Source organism: Homo sapiens, chromosome 5 (assembly GCF_000001405.40).
Source record: "Homo sapiens chromosome 5, GRCh38.p14 Primary Assembly".
Classification (NCBI taxonomy): Eukaryota; Metazoa; Chordata; class Mammalia; order Primates; family Hominidae; genus Homo; species Homo sapiens.
Genome location: NC_000005.10, coordinates 30,143,527 through 30,157,442, shown reverse-complemented (window position 1 = coordinate 30,157,442; position 13,916 = coordinate 30,143,527).

Genomic DNA, 13,916 nt, shown 5'->3' with positions numbered 1-13,916 from the left:
AATATTTGGACAAGCTATAATCAATGACTGCATTTTCCTTCTTCGTTGAGTTAAAGCAAACTTAAAAGACTTCACACGTTACAGAAATTGTTAAGAAAGTACTTGTGAATGTAGTATCAGTGGAAAATATTTATATTTAGAATAAGGGGAAACTACAATTTATTGTTCATTTTTAGGTAAAACCCAGAACTAGAGAACACTGACAAAATGTTGAAATGTTGAACATACAAATGTTACCCTGTATATGAGAATTAGCTACTGTCCTATCATATTCCATGTAGCGTCTATATTTCAATCCATGTTGATATGTCCCAGTACCTAGTCCAGTCCTTCCAAGCTGATCCACACTCACAGCGAGAGAGAGAACATTTATTTTCATGACTTAGCTTCAGCTGTCTGCTTCTGACGATAGATATGAATGACCCTCATTCAAGTGATTAACCAAATGAAAACTTCCTTCCATGTCATTAATAGATCTTTTGCACTAAAATCAAAGTAAAATTAATCTTTTTGGATTAAATAATTGGATGCTTAAGTAATCTAAATAGTAGCTGTGAAGACATGGTTATTGCTACTGTAACTTAATCCTACTTTCTCTTACTGTACACGTACATTTTTCTGAGTAGCAAGATACATCAGTGACTGTAATCACAAATGGGAAAATATCCAGGAATTTTATAATGGGCTGAGAAATAAATGAAAAGAAATGTTACAATTAAAACCTAAAAAAAAAATCACTGGTAGTGCATAAAGTGATTCTAAAGGGAGAATGCTAGGTTTTCTAAAATGTATTAATATATTACCTTCTAGATACTTAACAAATGTCTTACTGTTAGATAGTTGTGTGTGTGTGCATGCATGTGTGTGTGTGTGCCTGGAAGAAAGACATTCACCTGGAACTCCTTCTGATCAGACTTTGATTTCCAGATGCAATCACTATTTTGGAGTTTGGTTCTGCTCACAGCATCCTAATGTGAGGTTCTGCCTGATGTCTTTTTCGAAGTGACCACTTTGCAGGTTGTTGAGCACTAGGTAAGCCATTGTTTGCCAGGGTTTGGCCAAAGACCAGAATGAGTCACTTTGCTTTAAATTCAAGCTTTGGTATGCCTTTCCAAGATCATGTGAGTGAGTGTGTAAACTGTGTGTATGTATATGCATAGATGTGTGTGCATAATTGGTTAACAGCTCACCCAGTTCATTTCCTCAAACAACACTACTTATGAATCCTCCACTGATAACATTAACATCTATAACAGCAGCACACTAATGACAGATGTCACAGAGCTCTGTGTGTCCAGTACAGTGCAAAATATAGCCTATCTTCCCGAATTTTTAAATGTCTTTCTGAGAAGGGGATTATTGTTTGAAATTTTGTAATTAGTCATGCCTCGATTAAGTATTTATTGAGTGCTCCCTATGTGCCAAGCCCCAAAGTAGGCAGTGGGGTACAAAAGTGAACAAAACACGCAAACTGGCCTAGTTTTGTGTTGTTCATATTCTGGTATGAGGAAATATGCAGCAAGCAAAATTAAAGCTACTAGTTTACATAGGATGTTAGAAGGTAATTAGGGCTATGAAATGTAAAGCAGGTAAGGGGGGCATACGAGTGAAGAAGAGGGGATTGCACTGTTATCTGTTGTAGTCAATTAGGTTTGGGTTCATAAAGAAAGTGACTATTGATAAAAAGTTTAATGAGGGGAGACAAAAATTATCTCAGGTAGAGGAATAACCAGCAGAAAAGCCATGAGGTAGACCTTGTCTGATATTTGAAGACCATCATGGAAGCTGTTATGTCTGGAATGGAGGCAACAAGAGAGATAGTAAAAGCAGGCAAGGTCAGAAACAGAAGGAGTGGGGAAATTGTAGTCTCATATACACCTTTGAGCATGGGGCTAATAAGAGCTCATCTACGGGTTTTTAAAAAAATATTCCCTGTTACTCTCTAGAGAATATGCTATAGAAAGGCAAATGTGGAGATAAAGATATCACTGAAGCGCGGCTTGTGCAATAAATGAGAAAAAAAAGAAGATAACGTGTTGGTTTAGATAGAAGATTTAAAAATTGTCCAGTCACATACTAGGTAAATTTGAATCCAGGTCTGCCTTACTTCGGGTTTACACCTGTGCATCCTGTGTGTCTGATCCAGCATGGTGATGACTCTGTTCACCTTTGGACAGTGAGTACAAGTTTATTTCCTGGAGTTCTGAAAGACATCAGGAAGAGGATCTTGAGACCAAGTGTTATGGTTAGAAGGACTGGCTTTGGTTTTGACAAAACTGTGACACTGGTAAAAGCCTAGCTGTGTTATAATTTTAAATAAATATTTCCTTGCGTTGGAACTTCCAGTGTCTGGGTAGCCCACGTAGAGCAAGAGGAATGAGCATTTCTACAACAATGACATAAGGAAAGCAAGGAACAAATAATGCCATGCTACTGAGTGAAAGAAATCAACAGAGTTGCATATATATATATATATATATATATATATATTTTTTTTTTTTTTTTTTCCCAGGCTGTGAGAGCAGTTCTTTCAGAAAGGGCACACTGCTGTGAATTCTTCTTACTGTTCTGTGGAGCATGAAGACATGGCAGTTATTTTATTTTTTGAGAGAGTAAGTAACATTTCTGCTCTCAAAAGTTTCAAATCCTATCCTAAATCAATAGTCTTGAAGTGAGTATCTAGATGATTCTTGTGATAATTTGAAAGATGCTCTAAATACTGGGGAAATAATGAAAAGATGCATCCTAATGAAATGGAGTAAAATTAGATAAATAGAATAAAATATATTCATAAATTTTGTTTTCATTGTTTCCAGAGAAGAAAATATAATAAAAATGTCACATAGATCAAAATCTGTCCATGTAAATTCAAGGATATGTGTATCACCATTTTGTTTTCAAAAAACGAATGCTGAATAATAAGTTTAATAATATGTTTAAATTATTTTATATGTCTTTAGAATTATTAGGATTATATTCCAGAAAATCATAGTAATTGAGTATTTACCAAGACAGCATGGATTTGAAATGCAAAGGAAAAGAAAACCTGCAGGTTTGCCTGATTCGGATGATGTTTAGGCCTTATATTTCTTGGTTTTAGACAGTAAAAGTGACACTTTTTATGCTTGTATTATGTGGCTAAGTACAAAATTAGTGCTCAGCACACTGAAGCAGGGGCAATGGTGTATAATTCCCAATATTCTAAAGGCAGAGTTTATAACTATACTAAGGACACACACACACACACACACACACACACACACACACACACTGCATACTAGAAAATATTATTAGAGAACATCAATAAATATTATGCTGTTTTCAAAATTTAACTATTATGATTAAAAATATTATTAGAGAACATCAAGAAATATGTATTATGCAGTTTTCAAAATTTAACTATTAAGATTAAAAAGGAATTTCTCTTCATTAACATCATTAAGAATTTTAAATTAGTTCTAAAAGAATTGGCTCTGGCTTTAACAGACTCTGTGATTTTAAAGACAGATTTAAGAAATACATATTTAATATCAGCTGATTAGTCATAATAGTATATTATTTCCCACTCTTGTATGTTATAATTTTTAATGCAAACTTATAAACTTAAATTAGTATTTTTGTTATCCCTTTCTAAATGTCAAGGATCCCATTTTACTCATCATTTATCCACACCCAAAAGTTTTTTCAGCCTTTATCCTCTTCCACTTATTGTGTTAACTCATCCTTCCTTTCTCAGGCAAATTACTCTTCTAGTACATTTGTCTGTTGCCTTTTCTTCATTATTTTTCACTACTCAATCTGGCTTCATTTTTTCAATCTGGCTTCATTTTATCAAAGTCTCCACTAGAACTGTGTCACTAATTCTGAAATTTTCCTAGCTTCAAAGCCAATGCAAACTTCAGTGTTGATTTTCCTTAATTTTTTTGGCAACATCTCTCTCCACTGAATAATCCCTACTTTCAAAAAAGGCTTCCCAATGAATTCCTTGAAAAACACTGAATTGGTTTTCCTATTCTTCTCATAATTAAATCCAAGACTTTTTATTTTATTATCTTCTCTTCTTACATCTACCATTTAAATGTTGTTCCCCAGTTCTCTATGAAGAACCTTCTTCTCTGCCAATCTGCATGTCTGTTTCATGAGACCATACTCATTTGCCTTCTTTCACTTATTACCAAACTCAGGCAAATCCAAATACACATAAACAGCCTAATACCTGGTCTTCTAACCTGAGAACCACCACATTGAACCTCTGCTTCACAAATGCTTGTGGATTGTCTCATTACCTCAATCACAACTTTTCTAATAACAAATTTATTTGTCCTCTGTGAATGATCTTCTTTTCAGAAATCTTTACTATAGTGAAAAGAAGCTCATTCAATGAATGTTCCAAATAACCAAACCAGAAACATCCTTCTCATTGACTCTGAGTGATATCTAGGGGTATGGCTTGTCCTCCCAAAACTCAGGTCCAAATTTGATTCTTAATGACAGTGTTTGGAGGTGGGGTCTAGTGAGAGATATTTGGCTCATGCAGGTGGATCCCTCATGAATAGATTAATGCCCTCTCACAGGGGTGAGTGAGTTCTTGCTCTTGAAGGAATGAATTACTGGTAGGTACAAAAGTAATTGCAGTTTGGGCCATTAGTTTTAAATGACAAAAACCACAATTACTTTTGCACCAACTTACTAATTCCTGAGAAAGAAGGTTGCTAAAAAAAGCCTGGCATCCTTGGTTTTACTCTTTTGCTTTCTTTTTCACCATGTAATGTCTATGAACATGCCCACACCAAGTATTGGTTTTCTGCCAAGTATTGAAACAGTTTGAGGCCCTCACCAGATGCGGCTGCTCAATCTTGACCTTTCTAGCCATCAGAATTGTGAGCCAATTCTCTTTTCTTTGTAAATTCCTTAGTCCTAGGCATTCTGTTACAGCAACACTAAATAGATTAAGGCAGAAAATTGGTACTGAAGAGTGGGGTGTTGCTATACAGATACCTGAAAATATGAAAGCAGCTTTGAAGCTGGGTAATGAGTAATGGCTGGAAGAACTGGAAGAAGCAGTCTAAAGAGTCTGTATTGCCATAAATAGAGCATTAATGGTAATTCTGCTGAGGGCTCAGAAAAAGTCAAAAACACAATGGAAAGTTTGGAACTTCTTAGCCATTGGTTATAGGGTTATGGCCAAAATGCTGATAGAAATATGGAAAGTAAAGGCCGTTTTGATGAAATCTCGGGTGGAAATGAGGAACAACATCATATTGGGTACCACAGAAAAGATCATCCTTGTTACAATGCAGTGTTAGGGCATAAACACAATGCAGCCAAGTTCTTTGCTGTGGGCCCTCTCATCACAGGCCCACAGCAAAGAACTTGGCTGCATTGTGTTCATGCTCTAAGAGTTATGGAAGGCAGAACCTAAGAGTTATGAACTAGTATACCTAATAGAAGAAATTTCTAAGCAGCAAAGCAATCAAGAAGCTGTGTGGTTACTTTTAACAGCTTACATTGAGTTACAACAACAAAGGGATAAACTGAAGGCAGCATTTACAATTAAAAGGGAAGAAGAGTGTAAACATTTGTGAAATTCACAGCTTGGGCATTTGGTAGAGAATGAAAGAGCATTTTCAAAAGAGGGAGTCAAGGGTGCATTGGCTAGGACTTTTTGCTGAAGGAATTAGCACAGATAAAAGGGATCCAGGTGCTAATAGTCAAAACTATAGGAAAAAAGCCCTAAAGATATTTCAAAAGTATTCTAGACTACCCCTCCCATCACAGGCCCAGAAGACTAGGAGAACATAATGTTTTCAGGGCACTGGCCCAGGGCACTACTGCCTTGAGATGTCTTGGGAGACTGCTCTCTGCAACCTGGCCACTCCAGATGGAACAGCCATGGCTCACATTGCCCAAGGTGAGGCTCATGTCACCACTTGCAAGGGCACAAGTAGGAAGCTTTGGAGTCTAGATAGTCTTAATTCTGCAGGCACATGGAATGCAGGAACTATGGAGAGATGGCTTCCTCCATTGAGATTTCAAAACATTTACAGAGAAACCTGCAGGCCCAGGTAGAGACTTGTCACAGGGACTGAGCCAGTCCAGAAAATCTCTACTAGGGCAATATTGAAAGGAAATTTAGGGTAGGAGATACTGCAGAGAGTCCCCACCAGGGCAATGCCCAGGGTGGGGAAGCTGCTGGAACCCTAGAATTGTAGTAACTGGAAGCATCCAATCTCAGCCTGGAAAAGCTGTAGGCACGTAGGTGGAAACCATGAAAAAGCCAAATGGATTGCTCTGAGCAGTCAAGGGATGAGAGTGCCAGAGGCCTTGGGAGACTACTCCTTGCACCAGTGTGACCAGGATGTGGGACATGAAGTCAAAGGATATTATTCTGGAACTTTCATATTTAATGTTTGCACTGCTGAGTTTCAGACTTGCTTGCATTAGGGGCCTATTATTTCTATCTTCTTTTAGTTTCTTTCTCTCCTCTTGAATAGGAATGTCTACCCTATGTCTATTCCACCATTGTATCTTGAAAGTAAATAGCTTGTTTTTGATTTTATAAGGTCAGAGCTGGACTTTGAGGCTTTTAAGTTGGTGCTAGAACAAGTCAAGACTTCTGGTACTATTGAGAAGGTATGACTGATTGCATTTTGCATGTGAGAAGGACATGAGTTTTGGGGACCTAAGGGCAGAATTACATGGTTTGGATATGAATTTTCTCTTCCAAAACAAATGTTGAAATTTGATCCTCTGTATGGGGGTATTGGGAGATAGAACCTCATGGTAAGTGTTTGAGTCATATAGTCAAATTTCTCATGTATAGATTAATGCCCTCATTCCCACAGACAGGAATTGCTCTCACAAGAATGATGCAGTATTTCTTGAGAGAGAAAGTTGTTAAAGAGAGTCTGGCTTCCTCAGCTTTTCTCTTGTTTCCTTTCTTACCATATGATCTCTTCACACATAACTGCTTCCCTTCTGCTTTCAGCCATGAGTTGAAGCAGCTTGAGGCCCTCACTAGATGCAGCTGCCCAATCTTGGACATTCCAGACACCTGAATTTTGAGCCAAATAAACTTTTCTTTATGCATTAACCAGTCTCAAGTATTATTGGCAGCAACACTAAACAGACTAAGACATTTAGCCAAGTCACAGAGTTCTATAGATTTTAAGTATGTGACAGCTACTCAAATTCCACACTTCCAATACCCTTGTCAATGTTTTCTTCCACCTATCATCCTTTCTCTAAAAGCTGCTTAATAGGCTCACTATTTTGAATCTGGATTTTCACTGACAATCTATGTTATATTCAACAGCTAGAACAATTTTGCTTTCAGAAGGAGAGAAAGAGTTTTTTTTTTTTTCCTGTAGCACAGTAATTTCATTTCCAAGAGACCTTGGCTTACCAACAACCATTATACAAATAAGTTTTACATCCTAGAAAAATGTGTTAGGAAGTTTCTAACTAACTAGCATCCCCCACTCCCGATATATACACATATGAATTTGAATGTTAGGGATTTTTAATGTCTATGTAATATATGAAGAAGTTCTTCAAATTTTATCAGCAAATGTGAACCCTAGGGAGACATTTATTTTGCTGGAATGAATAAATTTATGAGATCCTTAGGATCAGTTCTTGGGGGGCATAATGTCCCCAGATAGCATACTTTAGTAAATGCTTATTGTTCTACTAATCTCCAAGTTCCTGTTTGCTCAGCTACATATGTCACCATGTCACTGGGAATAAAAACTGGGTTGTTAAGGAGAATACAGAAAAAAAATTCACAGCTCCTTAAGTGAATAAAAAAGGGAAAGATAAATTATATAGCAGGGGAAATAAACTTTGGTGATAGAATGGAGATTTTTAACTGGAAATGTCATAAAATCTTTCCTGATTGAAGTACAATATGAATTTACCCTGAATCAATCCTTTTTCTTTCTTCCAAACAAATTGCTATTGGCATAACACAACACTCAGTCTTTTATTATTTGATCTTATCACTTCCAATTAGTTGTAGGTGTTTTTAAAGTGTAGTACAAATCTCTGTGCCTTATAAATGCACTCAGCATTGTAACATAAAACCTGGCTTTCTCCATTCTCAACCTATGCTTTGTAGTTCTCTATATTAATTATTCTTATCTGATGTGTGCACTTCTCTCATTCTTCCATTGCATTGTAAAATTCTTAGAAGACAGAAGTCATATCTTTAACCTGCATCATACTTTCCACAACCTCCCCACTTGTCTTTCCAAAATCTAAAATATTGATTTAAATATTTTATATATTATAAATAGTATGCCAGCAATTTTTAAACATAATTTTCAAAAGATGAAAAAACCCCACAAACCTCTTGGCTTTTCAATTCAACTCTCTACTTGCACTTTATCTCTACGTGCACTATTATTATTACTCCTTCTGTATGAAATAAACCAGAAAATAAACAAAATATTACAATCTGTTGGAATTATATTGTGTTTAAAACCAATCTGCTAATCACACAGAAAAACCTCAAATAAGCCTTTTATATGTATAAAAAAATGAAGCAGTCTGAATTCCACTGCTGTTTACTTAGTTTTTATTTATAGCTACCAAAGTCGCAAATATTTCACCCTAAGAAATTTGTTTGAAGGTAGAATTCCAGTATTCCCATATAAGGGCTGCAAACCAAATAACACCATCACTGCCACAGATTATTGCTTTATAAATAGTCACACCAAAATGCATCTTGTGATTATTATTTTATCAGAATTAGGTAGCAATATGAACTATCTATTTTCTTATGTTATAAAGGGAAGTCTATATTGTACAGAATTGCATTTTAAATATAATGATTCTGCTTTCCTACTTCTATTACAATCATTGTCACATGTTAAGTCTTCTTCTAATACCAGACCAATATATGGACAGTTCATAAAATAAGTAGTTTTTGTTTTTACAGAAGAAACAAAATATCTTGAAGTGCTACGGAGCAATTGTTATGTTTCTTCATCTCTTGGAGAGGCTCTTACTGTTGCTGTAAGTCCTAGTGAGTTACAGTTCTTTTATAACATGAAAAAAGATAATGGCTATAATACCACTATGTGAATTTCAACTTTCAACTCTCTCTCTAAAGTTAAAAGTTAGCTTTCAAAGCTTTTAGAAGGCTGCTGCCCTTTCAAACTACATTTCTAGTGCATCAGTCTTATTGATTTATTCATAGTAAAAGTTATCTGCTCCTTCCTTGTGTGTGAAACTAAAGAAGGGCTACATAAGTGCCTCCTAAACCATGGCAACCTTCTCAGATGCACTTGGCTAAATAGTGAAAACGTATTCTTTCTGGTCAAGACAATGGTCAGGCTGGAGAGGAAAAATGGAGCTCTCAGTGCCAACAAGGTTAAGTCATAAATTTTAGTTTACCACCAATATCAAATGGGAAATGTTTCACCATTCCAGGAACTATTATTTCCAGAAAGTGATAGAGCCTCTCCAGTAATAAAAGCATTGATCCTTAACTGAACTCTGAGTATCTGATGTAAATTGGAGGAGTCTTTTTGAAGGAATCCATTTCTGTAGTCTCAAAGTCCTTCAGTTTAATGTGGGTGAATGCATATTAAAGAAATGAGTGAGGCAGCTTAATTTTACCATTCAAAATACAGAACTAGAAAGAGAAAAAAAAAGACTTCTTTTGGTTATAATACAATCTCTCATTTCTTTTTATTTATGTATTAATCATACACATTATTTATACTCTGTTAACCTCCCTTTTGCATTGTATGATTTATTCCATGTGCCAATTTATATGCAACTAAATTATTTATTATCATGTAAAGGTTTATAAGGCAGAGAAAGCCTACAAAAGCTTTACTTTTGTCCAATAATGAAGAAAATATACAATATGCAAGTTCTTTTCATTGACTTTATTTTTTGTCCATTGAAAATAATAGAATACATTCTCTAGTATTGGAAAAAGTCCACAATGCCTAGACTTTCCTAATTCCATATAAAATAAGATAAAGTAAGATAATTCCACTTAAAGGAAGATAAATGCTAAGGTGGTTTTATCTAAATGGTTTGATACCTAGCACTCATTCTCCTTTTCAATACTTATATAGATAATAGCAAAACATATTATGATAGAAGCAATGATGAAGTTATTACTCTCTGAAAAGTAACTATAACCAAAGAATTCTCCAATGGTGCTGATTGGTCCTGACCCATTCAGTCAGTGATATGGCAGTGGGTCTGATGTGTGGTTAACAGAGATTCTAAGCAGAATTATAGTGCTTCATTCTTAAATATAAATTGCCCAGGAGCACCTGGCATTTGAGGTAACCATTTAATATAAAAAGATAACAAAGCCTATTTGATAAAATAGAAACATAAAATACTTGTTAGCCTTATGGTAACTTCAAACCAAAAAACATACAATGAATGCACACACAAAATTTAAAAGCAATAAACTAAATCATCTTATTAGAGAAAATTACCTTCACTAAAGAAAGACAGGAATGAAAAAAAAGAAGAAGATATCGGAAAACAACCAGAAAACAACTAGCAAAATGGCAGGATTAAGTCCTTACTTACCAATAATAACATTGAACTTACGTGGACTAAACTTTCTAATCTAATAATAAGTAGTTAAATGAATTATTTTAATATGTAGTTGAATGGATTAAAAAACAAGACATATTGGTCTGTTGCCTACAACAAATACACTTCACATATAAAGATACAAGTAGACTGAAAATATAGAGATGGAAAAAGATTCCATGTCAGTGGAAACCAAAAAAAAAAAAAAAAAAAAAGGCAGGAGTAGCTGTACTTAAATCAGACATAATATATTTCAAGACAAAAACTATAAGAAATGACAAAGATGATCACTATGCAATGATAAAGGGGTCAATTCAGCAAGACAATATAACAGTTTTAAATATGCATGTACCCAACACTGGAGCACCCAGATGTATAAAGAAATTATTACTGGATCTAAAGAGAGAGAGAGAGAGATAGGCCCCATTATAATGATAGATGGAGACTTCAAGATACTACTTTCAGCATTGGACAAATCTTCCAGACAGAAAATCAACAAAGAAACATCGGACTTAATTTGCACTATTGATCAAATGGATCTAGTAGATATTTAGAGAACATTTAGAACATTTCATCCAATGGCTAAAGAATGAACATTCCTTTCCTCAGCACATGGATCATTCTCAATGGTAGGCCATATGTTAGGTCACAAAACAAGTTTTAAAATATTCAAAAAATTGAGATAATATCAAGTATCTTCTCTGACAAAACATGAATAAAACTAGAAATTAATAACAAGTGGAATTATGAAAACTATACAAATACACAAAAATTAAACAATATGTTCTGAATGACCAGTGGGTTTATGAAGAAATTAAGAAGAAAATTGAAAAAGGTCTTGAAACGAGTAATGGAAACACAATATACCAGAACATTTTGGATATAGCAAAAACACTATTAAAAGGAGAACTTATAAGTGCTTACATAATAAAAGAGGAAAAACACCTGATAAAGAATCTAATGATGCATCTCAAAAAACTAGAAAAGCAGAAAAGCAAGAGCAAACCAAACCCAAAATCAGTAGAAGAAGAAAAAAGTTCAGAGGAAAAAAATGAAATTGAAATGAAGAAAACAGTACAAAAGATCAATGAAACAAAAAGTTGGTTTCTTTGAAAAGTTAAACAAAAAGACAAACCTTTAGCTGAACTAAGAAAAAAAGGAAGATTAAAATAAATAAAATCAGAAGGGAAAAAGGAGACATTACAACTGATACTTCAGTTATTTAAATGATCATTGGCAGCTACTATTAGCAACTATATGCCAATAAAGTGGAAAATCTAGAAGAAATGAACAATTTCCTAAATACATACAAACTATAAAGAATAACCAGGAAGAAATCCAAAACCTGAACAAACCAATAACAAGTAACAAGATTAAAGCCATAATAAAATGTCTCCCAGTAGAGAAAAGCCCAGGAACTGCTGGGTTTCCTGCTGGATTTTACCAAGCACTTAAGGAAAGAATACAAATCTTACTCAAACTATTCCAAAGAATAGAGGAGGAGGGAATACTTCCAAACTCATTTTCCAAAACCAGTATCACGTTGATACCAAAACCGGACAAAAACACATCAAAAAAAGAAAACCACTGGCCAATATCTGTGGTGAATATTGACACAAAAATCCTCAACAAAATACTAGCAAACTGAATTCAGCAAACATTAGAAATATCATTCATTATGACAAAGGGGGATTTATCCCTGGGATGCAAGTATGGTTCAACACATGCAAATCACTCAATTTGATACATCATAACACCAGAATGAAGGATAAAACCATAGGATCATTTCAATTTATGGTGAAAAAGCAGTTGATAAAATTTGACATCTCTGCATGATAAAACCCTAAAAAAACTAAGCGTAGAGGGAACATACCTTAGCATAATAAAAGCAGTATACAATACGCCCTCAGCTAGTATCAGACTGAATAGGGAAAAACTGAAAGCTTTTCCTCTGAGATCTGGAACATGACAAGGATGCCTACTTTCACCAGTGCTATTTAACATGGTACTGGAAGTCCTAGCTAAAGCAATTAGACCAGAGAAAGAAATATAGGGCATCCAAATTGGAATGGAAGAAGTCAAATTATCCTTAATTCAAGATGATATGACTCTACATTTAGAAAATTTTAGAGACTATAAGAACATTATCAGAATTGATAAATTTAGTAAAGTTGCGGAATACAAACTCAACCTACAAAAATTAGTAGCATTTCTATGTGCCAACAGTGAGGCATTTGGAAATAGATTTTTTAAAAAGTAATCCCATTTACAATAGCCACACATAAAATTAAATGCCTAGGGCCGAACATGGTGGCTCATGCCTGTAATCCTAGCACTTTAGGAGACCAAGTAGGGGGATCATCAGGTCAGGAGTTCGAGACCAGCCTGACCACCCTGGTGAACCTCCGTCTCTACTAAAAATACAAAAAAATGAGCCAGGCATGGTGGTGTGCGCTTGTAATCTCAGCTACTCAGGAGGCTGAGGCAGGAGAATCACTTGAACTCAGGAGGCAGAGGTTGCAGTAAGCCAAGATTACGCCACTGTATTCGAGCCTGGGCAACAGAGTGAGACTCTGTCTCAAAATAAATAAATAAATAAATAAATAAATAAATAAATAAATAAACAAACAAACAAACAAACGCCTGGGAATTAACTAAAGAAGGGAAAGAGCTCTATAATGAAAACTGTAAAACACTGATAAAATAAATTGAAAAGGACACCAATAAAAAAGGAAAAATATGCCATGTTCATAGATTAGAAGAATCAGTATTGTTAAAATGTTTGATATGGCCAAATTTCATTTTGAATTATATGTAGTTCCCATAATCCCCACGTGCTGTGGGAAAGACCCAGTGTGAGGTAATTGAATCCTGGGGGATGTTACCTCCATGCTGTTCTCATGACAGTGAGTGAGTTCTCACTAATGTGATTGTTTTATAAGAAGCTTTTCCCCCACTTCACTCTACACTTGTTGCTGCCACCATGTGAAGGAGGACATGTTTGCTTCCCCTTCTGCCATGATTGTAAGTTTCCTAAGGCCTCTTGAGCCATGCTGAAATGTGAGTCAATTAAACTTCTTTCCTTTACAAATTGTCCAGTCTTGGGTATGTCTTTATTAGCACTTTGAGAACAGACTAACACAACAAATTGGTACTGAGGGAGTGGAGCGCTGCTGTAAAGATACCCTAAAATGTGGAGACAACTTTGGAACTGGGTAACAGGCAGAGGTTGGAACAGTTTGAAGGGCTCAGAAGAAGATAGAAAAATGTGGGAAAGTTTTGAACTTTCTAGAGACTTGGAGAGCTCAGAAAACAGGAAGATGTGGGAAAGTTTGGAACTTCCT